This window comes from Homo sapiens, chromosome 10 (genome assembly GCF_000001405.40).
Source record: "Homo sapiens chromosome 10, GRCh38.p14 Primary Assembly".
NCBI classification, from domain to species: domain Eukaryota; kingdom Metazoa; phylum Chordata; class Mammalia; order Primates; family Hominidae; genus Homo; species Homo sapiens.
Genome location: NC_000010.11, coordinates 1,513,059 through 1,534,359, shown reverse-complemented (window position 1 = coordinate 1,534,359; position 21,301 = coordinate 1,513,059). Strand labels below are relative to the sequence as shown.

General features: G+C 48.0%; 1 protein-coding gene and 1 long non-coding RNA gene across 2 annotated transcripts in view, besides 2 other annotated features; one reads left to right on the top strand and one right to left on the bottom strand.

The window, feature by feature from the left end:
• The window catches only part of ADARB2-AS1 (ADARB2 antisense RNA 1), a 30,379-nt gene extending 22,649 nt beyond the window's left edge, over window positions 1–7,730 (bottom strand). The window contains exon 1 of the long non-coding RNA NR_033387.2: window positions 7,461–7,730. This is a non-coding gene — a long non-coding RNA (ADARB2 antisense RNA 1). The remainder of the gene's footprint in view (window positions 1–7,460) is intronic.
• Window positions 1–21,301, top strand: part of ADARB2 (adenosine deaminase RNA specific B2 (inactive)) — a 560,213-nt gene that overhangs the window by 203,166 nt on the left and 335,746 nt on the right. The window lies entirely within an intron of this gene.
• Window positions 3,843–4,842: an enhancer, noted in NCBI's record as "H3K4me1 hESC enhancer chr10:1571713-1572712 (GRCh37/hg19 assembly coordinates)". NCBI's record gives its function as "activates a minimal SCP1, AML or CMV promoter by ChIP-STARR-seq in primed H9 embryonic stem cells {active_cell/tissue: H9 hESC(primed)}" and the evidence as "EXISTENCE:reporter gene assay evidence [ECO:0000049][PMID:30033119]".
• Window positions 11,745–12,246: an enhancer, noted in NCBI's record as "H3K4me1 hESC enhancer chr10:1564309-1564810 (GRCh37/hg19 assembly coordinates)". NCBI's record gives its function as "activates a minimal SCP1, AML or CMV promoter by ChIP-STARR-seq in primed H9 embryonic stem cells {active_cell/tissue: H9 hESC(primed)}" and the evidence as "EXISTENCE:reporter gene assay evidence [ECO:0000049][PMID:30033119]".

Genomic DNA, 21,301 nt, shown 5'->3' with positions numbered 1-21,301 from the left:
TCAAGACAAGCCTGGCCAACACGGTGAAGCCCCCGTCTCTATTAAAAATACAAAAATTAGCCAGGCATGGTGGTGGGTGCCTATAATCCCAGCTACTTGGGAGGCTGAGGCAGGAGAATCGGTTGAACCCGGGAGACAGAGGTTTCAGTGAGCCAAGATCATGCCCTTACACTCCAGCCTGGGCGACAAAGTGAAACTCCTTCTCAAAAAAAAAAAAAAAAACTATTTCAATGCAGGAAAATCGCCTTCTAATCCTTCTTAACCCTAGTGTTTGTCTCCTCAGAAACTAAATCAATCTCTCTCTCTCTCTCTCTCTCCCTCCCTCCCTCCCCCATCAAAGTCATCAAAACCCAGTCTCTTCAACCTGCATATCCATAAAATAATTAAAATCCTGTAATTATGGTTTTGATAATCAGAAAATTATTTACAAAAATATTCCTAAATGATTACGTTAAAAACCACTTCTAGGAATGCGTGTGTGGTGAACGTGGACTAGCCTCCCTTGGGGCCATGAGGGTCCCGTCCGCTGACAGAGGGGGAGGGTGGGTGCTTCTCTTCCGCACAGGACTTGTCTGGGCATTTCATACGCTGATGTTACTCCGAGGAGGAAATGGAATATGCGTAAGATCTTTCCTAAATTCCTTTCAAACCTCTAGCTGTGGTGCTCTTTGGAACATAGTTTAGGAAATATGCTCAGAAATCATTAACTCATCCTGGTATTCCCAAGGGCAGCATCTTTTGTGGCAAAGGCAAGAACCCACTGCTCACCCTTGGGAGGCATCGCAGAGTCAGGACGTGGCATGGCCTTGAGTCCCTAAACAGCCCCACAGTGCTCCCAGCGTAGCCTTGGTTTCCTAGGGGGACTCGCACGTGGCAATGCCAGGGTCACACCTCTCAGGATTGTGATTAAAAGGTGATGTTTGGTCGTGATTAAAAGGTGGTAGTGGCTCACTCCTGTAATCCCAGGACTTTGGGAGGCCAAGGCAGGCAGATCACGAGGTCAGGAGTTTGAGACCAGCCTGGCCAACATAGTGAAACCCCATCTCTACTAAAAATACAAAAAAAAAAAAAGAATGAGCCAGGCATGGTGGCGCACGCCTGTAGTCCCAGCTACTCGGGAGGCTGAGTCAGGAGAATCGCTCGAACCAGGGAGGCAGAGGTTGCAGTGAGCCGAGATCACCCCACTGCACTCCAGCCTGGGCAATGGAGCGAGGCTCCATCTCAGAAAAAAAAAAAAAAAGGTGATGTTTACACTAGAGACAGTAATCAGCTGGCTCGTTACTCTCCAGGGCCCAGTAGGAACATCTAATGAGAGTTTGCTTCGAGGAGGGTGGAGGCCGGCCCCTACCCTGTCCTTCCCCTGGAGTAACACACAGGATGCGGTTCCTCCCCTTCATTTCAGGGCAGGGTCATTACAGACACCGCTGGATGCCCGCAGGTGAGGCGAGGCTCCTGGGGCAGCCTGAGGGGTTCAGATGGGCCTCATTATCAAGATTTAAGTTCCTGGAGAAGCGCCCATTCTCCACCTCGCCTGCGGGCACCTGCACATTCAGGCTCCTGCCTGTGCCCTCACCTGCCCAGAGTGAAGGTGCGATTGACCCACTGGGAGAAGAGTCCCGGCGCCATAGCCAGCGGTCACATCCCCCTAAAGAAATGTTTCTGATCATCACGGCTGGCACTGAGATGAGAAGAGGCCCGTGATGACCTCTTGGTGTCTCACTGGCCCTGCACGCAGTGGACAGCTGCCCATAACATGCACTGGGGCAGCACCCAATGCCTGACCCCTGAGAGCCACTTCCCAACTCCACAGGGAATCGCACCTTCCCCTGGTCAATGCCAGGGGGTGAATTTCCCAGCTACAGGCCCACAGCAGAAGGACACAGGGACGGGCCACTGAGGCTCCACAAACAGGAGCCCACACCGAAGGCCCCATGAACAGACACGGGGAGCCAGGTGTCATGAAGATCAGAGCGGGAGATCACGGGGGAAAGTTGGTTCCCACGCTTTCAGATGATGAGGGTCAACAGCTGTTTTTGGTGCTGGTTTTGTTGGTTTCTTAAAAGAAAGAAAATCAGTGTGGGAATTAGAGATAGACATTATGTCTTCAAGGGGGAAAGCATCACAGAACGGTCTGTCTTCAGGGAATGGTGCGGGCTGATACAGGAAAACGCCATCCAGAAAGCATCACAGAACCGTCTGTCTTCAGGGAATGGTGCGGGCTGATACAGGAAAACACCTGCAGGCAGCACGCAGTGGGAGCACCAATAATTACCTCTTCGGGGACAGTGCCTGGGTGCCCAGGGATGTTTTGCTCTGATTCAAATCACAGGCAGGAAACTATTTGATGTAAGTTTGCAGCCTACAATACCGGATGGTGTTTTTTTGAAAACAACACACAGAAAATACACAGAATGCCGGAGGAACTTCCAGTGGGGATGGGAATCAGACACCGGATGTGGACCACGTGTGTTGTTAGGAGGAAAGCTGGAATTCTAGGGCACTATTTTTTTTTTCTTTTTTTTTGAGATGAAGTCTCGCTCTGTCACCCAGGCTGGAGTGCAGTGGCACAATCTCAGCTTACTGCAACCTCCGCCTCCGGGGTTCAAGTGATTCTCCTGCCTCAGCCTCCCGAGTAGCTAGGATTACAGGCATTTGACACCACATCCAGCTAATTTTTGTATTTTTAGTAGAGTCAGGGTTTCATCATGTTGGCCAGGATGGTCTCAAACTCCAAACCTTGTGATCCACCCACTCGGCCTCCCAAAGTGCTAGGATTACAGGCGTGAGCCACCGCACCCAGTCTCTAGAGCACTATTACTGTGTGGCTGTAACAATGATCAGCCTGCACAGTTATCACTGCAATGAGTAAAATGCTTGACTGAGCTGCAGTTGGTGTGGAATATTGTAGATTGGTATCCATTTGGGGGCTGGAAGGAGGATTTTTAATTAAGGAACTGTCAACAGCCAGAGGCCCAGAAAGATTTGAATCTTTGGAGAATTGGCCATGCCTCTCGCGAAGGGCTGCCTGGAGGAGGAGCCCTTGGCATGCAGCAGCCTGCACACTCGCTTTGTCCTGATGGGATCGACTTGTGAAATGATCCTGCACTCCCAAAAAGGCAAGACCTGTTCGGCCACTCACTAATTTACTAGATCATTCCGTGGTTACTCTGCCCACTGCCTGCGTGGGACATAGTAGAGGGGGAGGCACTCAGCGAACCTATGGGTGGCCCACGGGCAGGACATCCTGGAGCACATGGTAGGCTGTGGATCGCCAGCTATCATGGCGCAGGGCTTGTCCAAAAGCCTCATTCGAGGATCTAACCTAATGGGAGGCAGAAATGCTCAGGGCCGACCTTGCCGAAGAAGCAACGACTGACCTGAGTGCTGAGTGCTGAGACCTGCGTGCTGAGTACTGAGACCTGAGTGCTGGGTGCTGAGTGCTGAGACCTGAGTGCTGAGTGCTGAGACCTGAGTGCTGGGTGCTGAGTGCTGAGACCTGAGTGCTGAGTGCTGAGACCTGAGTGCTGAGTGACAAGTGGGTTTCCAGAGTTGAAGGGGAGCAAGCCTCAAGGCAAAGGCATACATGCGAAACAAGTTCAGTGAGCTGGAGAGAGAACCCAGAGATGCCGTGAGCAGGGAGAGTGTGGGCCATGACTTGAGAGGAGTTTGGAGAGTATGGGGTGCCCACATACTGTTTCTAAACGGATCTTGTCTAGAAACCGACAAGCGGTCGGTGTGCATGGAGGGCTTTGGGCGCAGGGGCGGACGAGGCTGATGAACAGAAAAGCCCACTCAGGCTCCGCATGAAGAGCAGGCCGCAAGGAGTCTCGTCCTGTGGCTCCCACAGAGGCCACGTGACCCTGGCTGAAGCAGTGGCCGTGCAGAGAGAGAATTCAGTGAGACGCACTCACGAGGACCTGGCAGGCTGGAGAAAGGAGGACGAAGTGACTGTGGCCCGGGTGCTGGGTTTGGAAACTGGATGAGGAAACCCAGGACGCAAGTGTTTCAGGAGGAGGGAATGTTGTGGGTGTGGGAGGCCTTGGGGCAGAGGCCATGCAGGATGAGGTCTGAACAATGTCCCTTCACCTGGGTGCCAGGAGGGAGACCCTCACTGAGCTCTGAGAGGGGCGTTTCGGTCGGGCAACTCGGCTGCATGCTCCACATCCCATAGCAGGGGCAACAGGTGAGCAGAGGAGAAAGGCACGAGGCAGTGGACGGGTGCCCAAGGTGGCAGGAGCAGTGGGTGGGTGCCCGCATTGGCAGGGGCAGTGGACAGGTACCAGCACTGGCAGAAGCAGTGGATAGGCGCCCATGGTGGCATGAGGTAGTGGACAGGTGCCCACATTGACAGGGACAGTTGACGGGTGCCCACAGTGGCAGGAGCAGTGGATGGGTGCCCACAGTGGCAGGGGCAGTGAATGGGTCCCTGCAGTGGCAGGGTTCAGTGGATGGGTGTCCGTGGTGGCAGGGGGCAGTGGACGTGTGCCCGCAGTCACAGGGGAGCAGAGAGCGGCTTCCCAGCCATGCACTGGTGGTGGAGATACCCTGTCCTTTGCCCTGCGCGTGCCCCTGAACTCTGCCCTCTACATGCAGCAGCACTGCCCGCAAGTCTCACAACCAATAGTTTCTGCTGACATCATTCTGTCTCCTGGGGAAGCCTCCCCCTCCCGTGGAAGCTACTGAGTTGCAGGGGCAGAGGGGCTCCAACAAGGGCTATTTTTTAAATGGGGGAGATTTGAAAATGTTTAGAATCTGGTGATAAGGGTGTCGGTGAGGGGAAAACTATGGAAGGGGTCACAGGAGAGGTGACGTTGCATCGGAAGAGTGGAAGGGTGTGGGGCCCAGGGCCAAGGATGGCCATAGCTACTGTGCAGGGGCGGATTCAGGCAGATGTCTCGTGGGTGCTGATGACCCCAGGGAGTCAGATTTCTCAGGTCCTCGCCTTCCCTAATCTTCCCCCTCAATCTGTGGGGGACTCGCAGTGTTGGGCATGGTGCATGGACTGATTGGAGGATTTGTGTTGGGGATGGTGCATGGACTTATTGGAGGATTTGTGTTGGGGATGGTGCATGGACTGATTGGAGGATTGGTGTTGGGCATGGTGCGTGGACTGATTGGAGGATTTGTGTTGGGGATGGTGCGTGGACTGATTGGAGGATTGGTGTTGGGCATGGTGCGTGGACTGATTGGAGGATTTGTGTTGGGGATGGTGCGTGGACTGATTGGAGGATTTGTGTTGGGGATGGTGCGTGGACTGATTGGAGGATTGGTGTTGGGCATGGTGGGTGGACTGATTGGAGGATTTGTTGGGGTGGTGCTGCTTGGCTCCTGCAGTCAGACCCACCTCACAAGCAACATCTTGTCCCAAAAACTAGTCCAAAGCAAAGCTACATTGTGGGGAAAGAGAGAACCGTGGGAACCTAGGAAGGGACAGACCACAGGGGCAGGACGAGTCCAGTCTGGAGCTCATAGAGGGCAGATCCCGCTTGGGACCACATGCCACTGGGTAAATACACTTTCAAAATCCCAATTCCACACATTCTGCTGGTGTCAACAGAATCCACTTCCCTCTCAGGCCATCATTGCCTCATTCTAAAATCTGTGGTTCAGCTTCTGACCAAACATGACAGCATCTAACTGTTTTCACTACAAAGGGCATCACCTGTCCAGGAAAGGGCTTTCTCACCCAACGGGCAAGAGTGCCATCAACCAGCATGACAGGAGGGGTGTGGGTGATGGGAAAACCATGGAGAACTTGAGAGGGCTCACACCGGGCGCTGCTGGGATGACCAAAGACCTCAGACAAGTAACGTGAAATTCTATACCACGGTTTACCTCTATAAAACAGGAGTAAAAGTGTGTTCCTCACACCATTATCATCAGCAGTACTTTGGCGCATCCATAAGTCCTTCCTGAGAGCCTCACATACAGCAGGGACTCAATAAGTAACTGCTCATAGATTCACGTGCACTGTCAGATCAGTTACATAAATATGAAATGTGGCCAGGGGTTCCAAACATCGATACCAACGCAGCTTGAAAGGAACCAGAAATGGAGGAACAGTATTTGATATGTCCCTTTAAAAATCTGGGTAGACCAGCAGTTTAGGAAGTGAACACGGGCACTCACAGGAGGCGCGGAGCTGCTGTATCGCACAGTAACATTAATGCAGTAAGCTCAGGTGTGTTGGCCGAAGACACAGCCATTGGCGAGAACGTAGCCCACAGCCGCGGACACGAGTTTGTCGAGAGGCTGCACATGCATTCGGGTTATTCACAGCCACCTCCAAGAGGGGAGTCCATAAAGTGTGGGGGCTGTTATTGATGGAGGCAGAATTATATGCCTCTTACTGCACAGATATATCAGCCTGGCATTTTTCTACTTACTCCAGGATTTTTATAACGTTCAGTTCAATGGCATTCTTGCTTAGTGAATAATTTTAATTTGTGCATCCAGAATGATAAATTTATGAATGTTGATGACAGCAAAGACCCATCCCTCATCGGCTTCTCCCCGTGCAGCTGGGCCCCTCTCCCCTGTCGTCCATCTGATGTTCTTGCCAACACCCCTTCAAATATCTCACGCTGGACGGCTCTCCTGCTCCTCTGATGAGATGTGTGATCAAACGGAAGAAAATTATTCTGATAGACTATCTGACCCCCGTCTTACCAAACCAAATAGCATCTCACAATATTATATTTTTAACTTTCTAATCATCCTGTTATGTATATCATCCTGTTATGTATATCAAGTCTTTTTACAGCAAGTCTTTCTAATCATCCTGTTATGTATAGCAAGTCTTCTTACAACAGAAACAGCATTCTTCTTGCCAGTCATGTTAAGGGCATTGATTTTAATTTAGTTTTTGTGGATTATTGTGTTTGCTTGATTTAAAATGAAAATCAAGGAGGAAGAAGTTTTTAAATATCATCAGGCAGTTTGCTGAGTTACTACTGTAAGCAAACCCCGTAAAAATCATCAAAACAGAATCCTAGGCATAGGAAAGAAAACTCCCTCATAACCACCGATCTATGTGGGGATGAGAATGTCTCTATAAGGAACGCTAGACATGTATTTAAAATACTAGCAGAGTCATATCGTAAATGAGGATGCGATAAGTACAAGAAGCAGTTCTCCACAAGGAATTGGAAGTGAGATTCTGTGGCGAGCACTGTAGTTTTAAACTGAGGGAAGCGGAGGGAGAAGTTCCTGTAAGAATTCTTTCCCTTTGTCATTCTCCTCAGGCTCCTGACCAGTTTCTGGGTTAAAGAGAAGGGCAGTGCCTCTCTCGTCTGTGGTCACTTGGTTAATATCATCCCCAAATGCGGAAGCTTCCAAAAAGCTGGAGTGGTTTCGTTTGGAAGTCAGAGCTGTGCACAAATAAGTTATTTTCTCTATTTCACATAATTATTAACAAATGCAAATTAAGATGCAGGGGATGTTTCTATGCCAGGACTCACCTGTGGGGAACTGTGAGGCTGATGAGGCAAGCAGCGAAGTGGCTGCCTGTGCCCGCTCACGACCCCTCCACGCACCAAGTGCGTGAGTCAGGGAGGTGCCAGGAGGAGGCGGGAACAGCTGCTTCATGTCATCCGGCTCAGTCCGTGTGTGTTGCTAGAAAGGAACACCCGAGGCTGGGTGATTTATGAGGAAGAAAGGTTTGTGCAGCCATGGCTCTGCAGGCTGTACAGGAAGCGTGGCACCAGCATCTGCATCTGGTGAGGCCCCAGGAAGCTTCACTCGTGGCCGATGGGGAGGGGAGCGGCCTGTGCAGAGATCACGTGGTGGGAGAGGCGGTGGGAGGGGCCAGGCTCTTCCTACCAATCAGCTCTCACTGCAACACACAGAGCAAGAACTCATTCATAACCAGGAGGACAGCACCAAGATAATCGTGAGGGATCCACCCCTGACCCCAGCATCCCCCACCAGGCCCCACCTCCAACACTGGGGATCACGTTTCAACATGAGATCTGGAGGGGACAAACCTCCAAACCATAGCACTGACTGTGCCACTCTTAAGAGACAGTTGGACAGCTCCTTGCCTCCTCTACAAGACTAGGGATGGGGTTCCAGGCATGCTCGTTAATGACTGCCCCATCTGCACCACCTGCCCCATCTGCCCCACCTGCCCCACCTACCCCACCTGCCCCAGGCCATCTCTCCAACTTCCCACCTGTGTCCTTTCCAAATCCCAGGAGCAGCCGCGCAAGTGCAAGACCGCCCTGCTGCCTTAGAACAAGGCTTTCCCCAGAAAGCTGTCTCTACCTAGGACATGCCCTGTCCCTCGCTTCCTGAGCAACAGCCCCTCAACACAGATGCACATGCACGCATACACACATACACAAACACGTGCATACATGCACATGCACATATATGCATGCACACACGCACATAAGCACACACGCACACACACCCATACGTGCTCACACACAGACACACGTGCACATGAGCATACACGCTCACACACATGCACATACACGCACATAAACGCACGCAGACACGCGCACACACACAAGCACATGAACATACACATGCGCACACACGTACATGCTCACATACGCACATACACACACATAAACACACAAGCACATGAGCATACACATACACACCCATACATGCACGCACACGCATGCACACATGTTCAGGCCAGCTGCCTCGGCTAGCTCTGTGCAAATGGTGGGCGTCTTCTGCAAGCCACCCTGTCTTCCCAGGCTGTCTTCCTCTCAGGACGCACATACAACCCCTCCGAGGTAACAGGACACAGATGCAACCCACAGAGCCGACAGGAAAACGTGGACCACCAGCGTCGGGCTGCTGATGTACTTTGAACTGAAAAGGCCCCCTAGATACCCACAGAACTGCACGGCTGAGGCGAAGAGAGACCATGAGAAACAGAGATACCAATGTTTCAGTCAAGGAAAAAATTAGAGAAGAATGTGGAATAAAAAGAATCATAAAGTGAAATAAATGTTTTCAGATTTTAGATTTCAGATCCACTCCCGCAGATGAAATCGTGAGATTCCTGAAGAAAATAATTGCACCAGTATTTGATCATTTTACAGTTTTGATTATGCTTATTTCCAGTTTTCCAGGAAAGAAATCTTTGTGTAACCTCATATGCACGTGTTACAAGTAGAACCAGAAATTCCTCCTCCCCCAAACATACAAAAAGGAAAGCAATTATTTAAGTCAGGTACCTGACCTTTTTTTACAGCTATTAGTACAAAAAGTGTTTTCTGGGGTGGTTTCCTGGCATGAAACTCAGGATTTATAGAATCTCTTCCTGTTCGTGAAGTTATTATTATTATTTTATTACTAAAGCCCTTAACTAAAGCAAGGATGCTTACTTAAATTGGCAGCTAGCTGTGAAAATGGAAAGGTAAAAAGACATAGCAGTATGTATTTGTGGATATAAACTATCTTTAAATCTGGAGGCTCAGACATAGATTGGACTATCCTGACTATTTTCTGTGTATTTCATTCCAGCCAGACTGCTAGTTCTAGGCTGGAAATATTATTCTCAACATAGAATTACAGGCCTTTGTGTCACCGCTCACTGTGATAGCCAGCAGTTCCTGGACCCTCACAGCACCTGTACACAGCACACATGAACACACGCGCGTGTGCACTCTGACCCTGCCTACCACCTCCCCCCGGGCAGCCACCGGGCTGTGCTGTTCTCGTAATCAAAGGTGGAGATGAGGAAAGTGTCTGCCTACAGCAAACACTCAGAAATAGATTCCTGTGAAAACCAAACAAAAAGGCAATAGAAAGGAGAAGTGGGAGATACTACATTTTTCATTAGGGCTGTTGCTGTGGAGGTTTTAGAACTTGGGCTCAGGAAAAGTGCTTCTTGCTGATTGACCCATTATCCAAGTCTGGTTGGAGGAACTTGTGATGCCAGCAGGTCTGAAAATTGCCCAGAAGATCACAAACATGGATGCCTGCTGGTGGACCAAAGAGATATTAAGGAACTCTAATTATTTTCTTTTATATCTTTCCTACTGAGTATTGGACACGTTAGTCACAAATGGCGACTGAATTAGTGGGACTTATATGTGGTGATTCCATAGGCATCAAAACACCTGTGAGGCTTAGTAGTCATAAAGTCCTGACCCTATTTTTGCTCTATTGCACCAAATACATTCATTGTATTATAAGAAGTTTGTATGTCTCAGACTCTCCTACAAAATTTTGTGTACCTTAAAGATAGTGACAAAGAATTATCTACCTATCATCTATTCTCTCTCTCTCTAATCTATCTATCTATCTATCTATCTATCTATCTATCTATCTATCTTCATATCCCCAGGATACTGTCTAGAATATAGTAAGTGCTGAATAAATTAATGAAATGCTTAATTAAAAAATGAATAGGTGAATGAATGAGTAGATGGATGGATGGATGGATGGATGCATGGGTGGATATTGAGTAGACAGATCAGGTTGATTAGAGAAAGAAACAAGCTATTCAATACTGTTTATAATATGCAGGCCATTTATACAGAAAAGAGCATTTATAAAATAGGAGATTAAAAGGATGACAGATTAGAAAATGAAATGTTCAAGATTTGTGCTGATATAATGGTGAAACTGGGATGGGGAGCATCTGACTAGATTTTAGAGAGAATTAAGCCTCAAGGTAAAACATTTTGATTTTATTTCAGTGATACTCTAAATCATTGCTTGTTTCTGATAAGGAAAGAGTCAGTATTAATTTGGAAGCTGCAAGGTTGGAATAAAGTTATTTTAATGATGAGTGGAGAATCTGAAATGTTGGAACAGGCTCATGGTCAAAATGCAGAAACTCGTGATAGAGATGAATGAGACCGAGGTGCTATTCCAGACGAAGCCTCTGGCAGGTTCTTTAAGCAAATCTAATGTGAGGGGGTGGGATGGCCCAGCAAGCATAGGGGCTTTGTTCTTGGTTTCCCCAGCTCAGGGCTGCGTGACGTGCATGTAACTTAACCCTGTAACCGAGCCACCTCCAACTTCCTGATCTGTAACACAGTGGGGTGGAGACTATGTCCTCTTGCACTTACACAAAATCTTGGTTCTAATGTTCGGATAAAATATTACTTCCACTGCCTACGTTACATATCTAAGTAGATAACCATTTGTTATCATTATTAATTAATTTGTCATCAGATTAAACAGAAATTCACAGATATTTGCCATACTTGTTTCTCTCTGAAGAAAAATAAAACCTAAAGCTAAGAAATAGCCATTGTCGATTTTGGATTTGTCACATAGTGTTATCGATTTGCTATAGAAACGTGAGTCGGTGCTCTTCTAACAAAAGGATGATGTCACCAAGCAGCGGACTCACATCTGTCTGCTGGGTGTAAGGAGATAACGATTTGAAACTCACCTGAAAGAGAGCTTAAGGGCTTTATAAGCAATAACATTGTGATCCTCGCACTGGTGAGAGAGAGGAGTCGCTCCTGCCATGGGGACTGGAGCGGCACAAACAAGGTGTCTGGTTAGGAGCCATGGTGAGCTTGGAGCCCAGCATGAAGGGGCCTGGCCTGAGCTGCAGGCACGCTGTCCTCTGAGGACCTCGGAAGTATTCTGAGAAGTAGAAGTGCAACAGTCTTTAGAGGCTACTGAAAAATGGGGCTAAGATCCACGAGTTCAATAACTAACGTATAAACGGGCAAAGGAAGAAGGAGAGGAATGATTGCTGAGAAGAGGGACATGTGTAGGGTTGGCATGTGTCTGTAAGAGTCCCTAGTACATACTGGACCACCTGACACACACACTGAGTGACAGAAGGAGCTGGAACATGCAAAAGTGGAGACGTTGTCCTCGTCCTCATCACAGACAGAAGGTGGCATCTGGGCCTGGACCTTCCTGGGAGTCGGGGTTTACACCATGGCTAGCTGGGGACACTGGTTTCTGGTTTGCAGGAAAGGCCTTCAGCCACCCTTTGTTTTACTGCCCTCTGACTCTCAGGCATCAGACACCCCACAGCGAATTTTCCTGCCTTCCACCTCCCCCTCTTAGAGGCAGTGTCCTGTGGCTTTTTCTCTCAGATTCCTATAGTTTGTGAGGCCAGAGATCAATTGTCTCTGATCCCTGTCTATCTGGTTATATGAAGACAACCTCTGTTACTAGCAGCTACTTCAAACGTGAGGCTCTCTGAGAACTGAGAGGTAGCCATGTATTTTAGCAACTCTGACAATATCACAAAGGCAGGGTCTCAACACTAAAATAATGATGATTACCATTCACAGAATGTTTCCCTTGCTCCTGACAATTGTGTGGTTATCAGAAATTCCTTTCATTTTTCGTAACAATCTTGTGGAGTAGACATGTTTAACTAAGTGTCAATGAAAAGAGTCCAACTCTGTAAAATATTTGAAGAGATTTATTCCGAGCCAAATATGGGTGACCCGGCCCACGACACAGCCCTCAGGAGATCCTGAGAACATGTGTCCAAGGTGGTCGGGGCGCAGCTTGGTTTTATATATTCTAGGGAGCTATGAGACTTCAATCAAATACATTTAAGAAATACATTGATTTGGTCCAGAAAGGTGGAAAAACTTGAAGCAGGGAAGGGGTTGGGGGTAGTGGGGGGTGGATGGGGGGGTGCCCCTTCCAGCTTATAGATAGATTTAAGCATTTTCTGTTTGACAATTGGTTGAATTTGTCCAAAGTCCTGGAATCAACAGAAAGAAACATCTGGGTTGCAATAAGAGTTGGTGGAGATCGAAGTTTTATCATGCAGATGAAGCCTCCAGGTAGCAGGCTTCAGAGAGAAGAGGCTGTAAATGTTTCTTATCAGACTTAAGGTCTGTGTTGCTGTTAATGCCGGAGAGGCATCATGAGGCATGTCTGACCCCGACTTCCCAACATTGCCTCAAACAGTCTCTCAGGTTAAATTTTAAAAGAGCCCTGGCTGGGGAGGAAGTGCATTCAGAAGCTTAGGGGGCCTTAGAATGTTATTTTTGGTTTACATAGGGAATATGTATATAAAAGACTGAAGCGAGGTTTTAAATGTCTAAGACAGTACAGGTGGTTAGGAGCTGAGTCCGAATCCACACCTGAGTCCATTGGGCTTCAAAGACTTGCTTTTAACCACTACATTCTATTGTCACCCGAGATGCCTGGGACCCAACTCATCTATGGTTGGGGGAGTAATGCCATGCCCGTCATAAACAGAACTTGTGGCAGCTTTTAAACATGCAGTTTCTACGACTAATACAGAGTTTTTACAGCCACCTCACCCGACTCCGGGCCGCCTGTACTTGCTGAGCACATGGGAGTATTAATTCCGAGTCCCTGAAGGGCAGCCTCAGGGTCTATTCCAAGTGATCCTGAACTCAAAGAAGAAAACTTCAGGATGACAGTGGGGCTGGACCTAGACTAACCCATTTGACGTTTCTGAAATGTATTCTGTCAAATTAAACATTTCTGCGTAAATCGAGGTCTTATTCTCAGAAATGAAAAAGGTCCAGGAACCATCTGAAAAGCTTGCATCTCAATGCTACATATGTAGTAAATATTCAAATATCATTTGATATCAACATGTGTAGAAAATAGTGTTCTCTGAGAAGCCTCAGTGCCCACCACCCAGGAAATGTGTGAAGTAATTTTTCCATAATTTTCTTATCATAGGAGGTGATACATATTAGCCAAAAATGCACACAGAATGACCTTAACTCAGATTTTTAGTCTAGCCATTTTGGCCAAACAGCAGACAAACTAAGCAATGTGGTTCTTGCCACTTTGTATTGAAATGTCAAAAAGTAATGCAAGTTTGGTGATTAGCAAATGTTCCCTACATCTATTAATTAATTGGCCTAAATGATTTAGTTATCATCAGATGTCAGATGGGAAAGTCTGACTCATTGTTCTTTCTTCCCTAAGTTTAGCTTTTCATGTGTGTGTTTTAAAAAATATAAAGTATGGCCATGGTAAAAGTCTAGAGAATTCAGACAGATATTAAAAATGAAAGTGAAAAGTCACTCATAACCCCACCAGCCAGATATAAGTGCTTCTTCAATTTTGATTTGTGTCCTTCCAGATATATTTTTATACACATACATACATAGACATTTGCAAACTGTAAATATAAATACAGTTTTATTACAAAAACAGGGTCATATGATGCATATGGTTCAGTCAGAAACTGGATTTTTAACCTAACAATGTATTATATGAAAATCTGTAAGCAAATGTGCTACCAAGTTAAAACCGCATATGCTCCTGTGTATGGATACACTTAATTTAGTTTTTGTTGGATATTTATTCTACTTAAACGTTTTGGTTTTATGGAAAACACTAGCAAATATGCCAATGCGAGCTTTTCCCAAGTGCTCAGTAGAGCCTCTTCTGAAGTGGAATTCCCAGGTAGGGACAGCAAGGGACTCATTCTAGAGGAAAGGATTTGCCCAGGGTGTGTGAGCTTCTGAAAAGACATTTCCAGTTGGCAGAAGGCAGCCTACATGGCAATTATTTGAATACTCTATGGTTACTGTTTCAAGGAATCAGAGGGAGGTAAGAGTTACAAGATCCATGCAGGGCAAAGGGAGGTAAGAGTTACAAGATCCATGCAGGGCGAAGGGAGGTAAGAGTTACAAGATCCATGATGCAGGGTGAAAAACCCTCAGGCCATTGGTTTTGCTAACTGTGCCATGGCCAGTCCCAAATCCTGAGTGGAATGACTTTTTCATGTTCTGATAATATGGGCATCACAGCAACAGAGAAGTCAAACGGACCCAAAGGTAGGGCCCGGGGCTGACAGAGAGCACCACACCTCCGTTCCACACCACCTGAACCACAGTAGGGCACCGGGGATGATGGCTCTCTGCTGGCCCAGCTGCAGGGTCCTTCAGGGAGCTCCTCAGACACAAAAGTAGGCCCCTACGATGCAAGCATATGACACCACATGTGGATGTTACACAGAATGCATTCATATGACAATACCAACATACAGACACTACACAAACGCATGCATATGACCACACCACCTGCAGTCGTTACACAGAATGCATGTGTATGACCACACCATGTACAGATGTTACACGGAATACATGCATATGACAATACCACATGCAGATGTTACATGGAATGCATGTGTATGACCACACCACATGCAGACGTTACATGGAATGCATGCATGTGACCACACCACATGCAGACGTTACATGGAATATAGGCGTATGACCACACCACATGCAGACGTTATAAGGAATGCATGCGTATGACAATATCACATGCAGACATTACACGGAATGAATGCGTATGACCACACCGTGTACAGACGTTACATGGAATACATGCATATGGCAATACCACATGCACACATTACACAGAATGCGTGTGTATGACCATACCATGTGCAGACGTTACATGGAATGCAGGCATATGACCACACCACATGCAGACGTTACGTGGAATGCATGCGTATGACCACACCATATACAGATGTTACATGGAATACATGCATATGACAATACCACATGCAGATGTTACATGGAATGCATGTGTATGACCACACCACAGGCAGACGTTACATGGAATGCATGCATATGACCACACCACATGCAGACATTACATGGAATATAGGCGTATGACCACACCACATGCAGACATTACAAGGAATGCATGCGTATGACAATATCACATGCAGACATTACACGGAATGAATGCGTATGACCACTTTGTGTACAGACTTTACACGGAATACTTGCATATGGCAATACCACATGCACATGTTACACGGAATGCATGTGTATGACAATACCATGTGCAGATGTTACACGGAATGCAGGCATATGACCACACCACATGCAGACATTACACGAAATGCAGGCGTATGACAACACTACATGCAGATGTTACATGGAAGGCTCCATCTGACACCCCTTGGGGAGGTCCAGGGACGTTATTGTTTCCAGGAGCTTGGAGTGCAGAGCTCCGTCCTCACAGGCTACGTTTCCACAGATGAAGCAGACGCATTCCAAGGCAAACAGGTACAGTTGTGAAGGGAAATTGGGAGCATTCACCTGGAAACTCTAGAAGTCATCGCTTGTGTGGGAATTGAACAGGTCATCCAGGGGGTTCTGGCATGAGAACGTGGTAGAGTGGATCAGCTCTGAGTTCACTTTTTCTGACTTCACTGCTTCTACTTAGAGGGCTGAGACCGAAGCTCATGCGGCCAACACAGTATCTTCTGATCTGATCGGGGAGTTTCGGATCCATCGCTCTCGCTGCTGGAGCACTTGCTTTTCTAACGGGTTGGCCTCTCACGTACAAAGTAACAAATATCGCCTGTTTTGTCTCATCTGTCTTTCTATGCTTAAATTCTTTTTACCTCCCCACTAAGAAGGCCTATTTCAGAGTGATGTGGGACTGATAGGGATGTGAATTTTGCCCCCTTTCATTCACTCAAGGAATCTTTAGTGAGCGCCTGCCATGCAAAGGCTCTGTCCCGTGCTTTGGGGCTGAGCTGCGGGGAAAGGCTGGCTTGGGAACCCCTTTCCTCACAGAGTGCCTATCCTGGGGATTCACAGGAGGAAGCAGAGACTAGTAAAATTAAGTAACTTCCTGGCTAGCTGATCATACGACCGAAGACAAAATCCCATCTCGTGATTCTCAGGGCAGGCTCTTTTCAGGATTCTTCATGAAAATGGACTCTCACAGTCGCTGGGTCCACCCCACCTTGGGATGGTGTCCCAGAAAGCTGCGTGTGTAAGTATTCTGACAAAATCCTCATTATTAAGCGAGGTGACACATGGCATTAGCAAATTCACTTGGTGGGCATTGGTGGGGGCAGACCAGGAAAATAAGAAAAGGAAAGAGGAAATTTAAAAACTTAAGTTCCAATATACGAAAGAGAGCAAGTTTTCCCATCCTTTCCCAGCCATATCAAGAGCTGACTTACTGAACCTCCAAGTGGAATTCTAGGCTTACTACCTAGTAGAGCTTTTTTCCTGATAATACCAGTTTCCATAATTGCTTTTACCCCAGAGAAGATTACAGCATTCCAGGATGTCTCTACCTTGCTTTGCTTTTAGTGAGAATATAAAGAAGGACAAGAAATATGTGCTATTGGATATTAATTTGCCTAAATGATCTGAAGGAGAAAAAAATGAATTTGAATCACTTCCTGTCCAATTCACCATTTAAGCACATACGGTAGTGCCCTTTTCCAAAAAAGGAAGGCACGATGCAAGAGTTACTTTCAGGGGCCACGTCTGGGTGACATTATCTCTCACACTCTCGGTGCAGCTGCCTCCAACTTTGAATTTGAAATTTTCTAATGGAAATCCTCCCTCCAGTGAGCAGGCGGCCTGACGCCACGACCGCTGGGATCAAATGTTCCTCCCACAGCAAGTGCTCGGATGAAAAACCGGGAAGGGACTGGCCGGCGTGGGGGAAACGCCATCCCTTTTCTGCTACTTCAGATGAATAATGACTCCTAAAACCCAGCACGTGAAAGGCTGAGTCACAAACACACGTGTCTAGAATAAACTACCCAGCCAACTTCCATGCGCTGTCATTGCCTGAGACCTTTAAAATACAAACGCTTCAAGTGAGGCCATTTGCAACCTTTTTGTGTCACTTTACCGATTATCCTCATACTTTAACTCATTTTCCCCCATCTCTGTCGCATCACAGTTGGAAGGGTGCACGGGGCCTCCGCGGGGAGCTGCACTTTGGGCGATATTCGCATGCAGCTCGAGGAAAATGTTTTCTTTCTAGCCCTTATTAAGGCATAAAACGGGAGGGCATTGCCGCAGGAAATCATGCCAACCTTCATTTTCCCAAGCACAGAGCAGCCCGCACAGCACACAGCAGCCCGCACAGAGCAGAGCAGCCCACACAGCACAGAGCAGCCCGCACAGAGCAGCCCGCATAGCACAGAGCAGCCCACACAAAGCCCGCACAGGTGAACAAGCAGACATTTGGTCTGAAGCGTGTATGTCGAGAATGCACGCTGGTCACAAGCAGGTGGGAAGCTCTGAATCCAGCTGCACCTCGGGAAAGGGAGCAGGGAAAGCCGCCTCTGTTGCACCCATGGTTGTTAAACACACCTGTCAGAGCTCACCTGCCGGCCTCCATTGTCCTGGGAAAGGAGAGGGCCTCGGGTCAGGATGGAGGGAAGGTGGTTTATTTGGGGTAAGGGTAAGGGACGCAGCTGCAGGACACGAGGAAGGAAGGTCAGCCCGCAATGAGGCCGGCCTTGAGCCTGCCAGAGGGTCAGAGCACCCCGGTCTGTATCACAGCAGGGTCGTCCTCTGGGAAGAGGGTGTGGTCAGGGCACCCCTGGTCTGATTGACAGTAGGGCCGTCCTCTGGGCTCTGACTTGAGTTTTGTCCACATCTGGCACTGGCTCAGATCTCCTGCCCACAGATATGGAGGCAAAGCCCAGCCGTGGAAGACATCTTAGCACTGCACACTCCATGTTGACATGAGGAGACAGCAAGAATTTGGAGAGGTGATAGTGGCACTGTCACATAGGCTTTCCTTAAATCTCACAAAGAAGAATCAAAGAATCAGAAAAATCTGCTCACAAATCGGCTGAGTGAGAATAGCATCATTGCTGCAGGTGCCAGCCGGGCAATCAGTGGCTGGCCGCTTCCTGCACCTTCCGGGCCTGGAAGAAACACTTTGGGATCTGAAGTTACTTTTTCCTTGGCCACCTAAGTGACTCTGGCTGAGGGGTGGGTGGGCAGGTGTCAGCACAGCTGTGGAAGGTGATGGGGTCCACCCTCTCACTGTGGGGACAAAGGACCAGTGCTCCAAGAACGGGGTCACTCTGGGGCCTGGGGAGCCTCCCAAGGCTGGCGGGTTTTCCCACGCCTTCAGCTTCTCCAGAACTGACCTGGGTCTTGGCTGCAGGATGACCTTGCTGGGATGTCCTTACTCTTCTGCAGTGTGAATGTCCCCCTCATCACCCAGAAAGCTGTAATGGTTGTGATCTCAGATCTACTGGGTCACGGCGGCAGCCAGGCAGAGGGTTTCCCACCTGGAAACAGACGTGCTGTGCTCACCTGGACTCTGTCGGCTCAGGGGGTCAGGGCCCAGTGCACCAGCCAACGGGCACCAGGTTCCCAGCGGGGGATCCAGGCACGAGCCACACTGTGTGCCCGCCTGCCCCTGCTCTGTGCTGCTGTGGCCTCGTTGAGGCTTCTTCTGGCCTCATTGAGGCTGACATTCAGTCTGCTTCCTGGCTATTCCATAGTTTTCCTCTCCAATTTTGTTCTTTTTTTGTTAATGATGTTGCACTATCGCTGCTGCAACAGGTCTTCTGCAAAGCCTCCAGCTAAAATTTAAATTGAACTTGGCCAGTAGATTTCGTTTTCAGCTATAAAACAAAGGCCTTCCAGTGTAAACGCCTGTTCACAGTGTGCCTTTCCATTTTACTGTCTCTTTCGCCCCTTTTCTGTGTCCTTTCTCTACTGTGGTCATGACGAGAATTCACAGAGTGCTCAAACCCTACGCTCCACTGCTGGTCTTGCCGTGAGCACAGAGGGCTCCACTCCATCCTGCAACGTGGCCAAATTGCATAATTTTCCATGTACTTGGCAAGGTGTAAAAACCTCTTCATAAAGGATTTCTTGTTCTCACAACACAAAACCCACCCACATTTGAGTGTCCTGGGATTTTAAGCTTCTTGGGTGGCGGTCCAGTGCAGTAGCCATCTGCCACAGGTGACAACTCTAATTCAATCAAAATTAAATACAACTTAAAATTCAGTTCCTCTGTCTCGGCAGCCACATTTCAAGCACTCCAAGGCCATAGGAGGCCAGGGGCCGCTGTGCAGGACATCCCAGATCTGGACACATCTGGAGGGAACCAAGTTCTATCAGACTGTGTGGGGGCAGCCAGAAACGAGCCCCACTGAGGGAGGAGGTAGGAGGAAAATACATCCCAGATAATGGGCATCAAAAAACATACTCAGTACCACATGGTCACTGAGAAACATTAAAATTCAAAATTCATTTATTGTTCAAATAATTGAGAAGCAGTGGAGAACTGACGGCTGTTACCCTGAAATTGAGGGCCGTGGAAGTGTGTGGTTTACTGATTCCCCGACTACTGTCCCAAAGCGTCAGAGCCGTCCTTCTGAACATTCAGGAGTCCTCTGTATCAGCAATATCAAGTATATTTTTATATATTTATGTATTTTTGTTATTTTATATAATATACATATATATATATATATATTTTGAGACAGCGTCTCACACTGTCACCCAACTCTGGAGTGCAGAGAGCTATCTAGCTCACTGCTGCCTCGATCTCACAGGCTCAAGCGATTTGCCTGGCTAATTTTTTGTTTGTTTTTAGTAGAGACAGGGTCTCGCTATGTTGCCCAGACTGGTCTCTAACTCCTGAGCTCAAGTGATCCTCCTGCCTCAGCATCCCACAATGCTGGGATTACAAGCATGAGCCATTGCCCCCGGCTGTATTTTTGTTATTTTGTTTATACACAGCTTCATTTAGAACAAATTTAAGTGTTTTAGATAGAACAGGGTAAACAGAGCTCAGAAAATGGAGAGTTGAACAGTAAGAGGCGCCAGAAAGGTGATAGACAAGCATTCACCGGCTATCACTTCAAGCCAGCATGATTAGCTGTGATCCAACTCTACCGGCCCAGAGCTTCTCCTTCTCCAGCAAATCCCTGGTTGTTCCTGACACTGAGTCCCTCCACACAGGCGCTGAGCTTCTGAGCATGCACCTGGGCAGAGGGGTTGCAGAACCCCTGCCCCTCTCCTCAGGGCTGCCCTGGAACCCCAGCACTGCCGTGTGTCTGGATAATTCCACCCCAGAGTAGCCCTTCCCAGCGCGCTCCATCATGAGAGACTCCTGGCTAGAACCATGGTGGGAGCACCAGAGCCAGAACAGAGCCATGAACTCCACACAGGCAAGAAGAGGATCCTGAGCCACGGAGGACGGCCGTCATCGCTAGCCACACACTCCAGAGTGCCCTCCTGCCAGAGTCGGCTGCAGGGCGCTGCCGGCTTCAGGAAACAGGCCTGATGGTGGCGGTCATCCCGTCATAGCCAGCCTTGTCACTGAGGGTCTTCAAGGAGCGTTTCTAGTTACGCTTTGTCATTAATGTATGGGCTATGGGTTTCTGGCAGCTCAAGATTAAAATAGGTTTCTTGGAACTAGTGAACATTCTGGTAATTTTTTTATTTACTGTTATTGTATATATCTAAGGTGTACAACACGATGTTTTGATATACATACAAATAGTGAAATGAACACTACAGTCAAACAAATCAACATGCCCATCACCTTCCAAAGTTACCATTCAGTGTGGATGTGGTAGGAGCACTAGAAT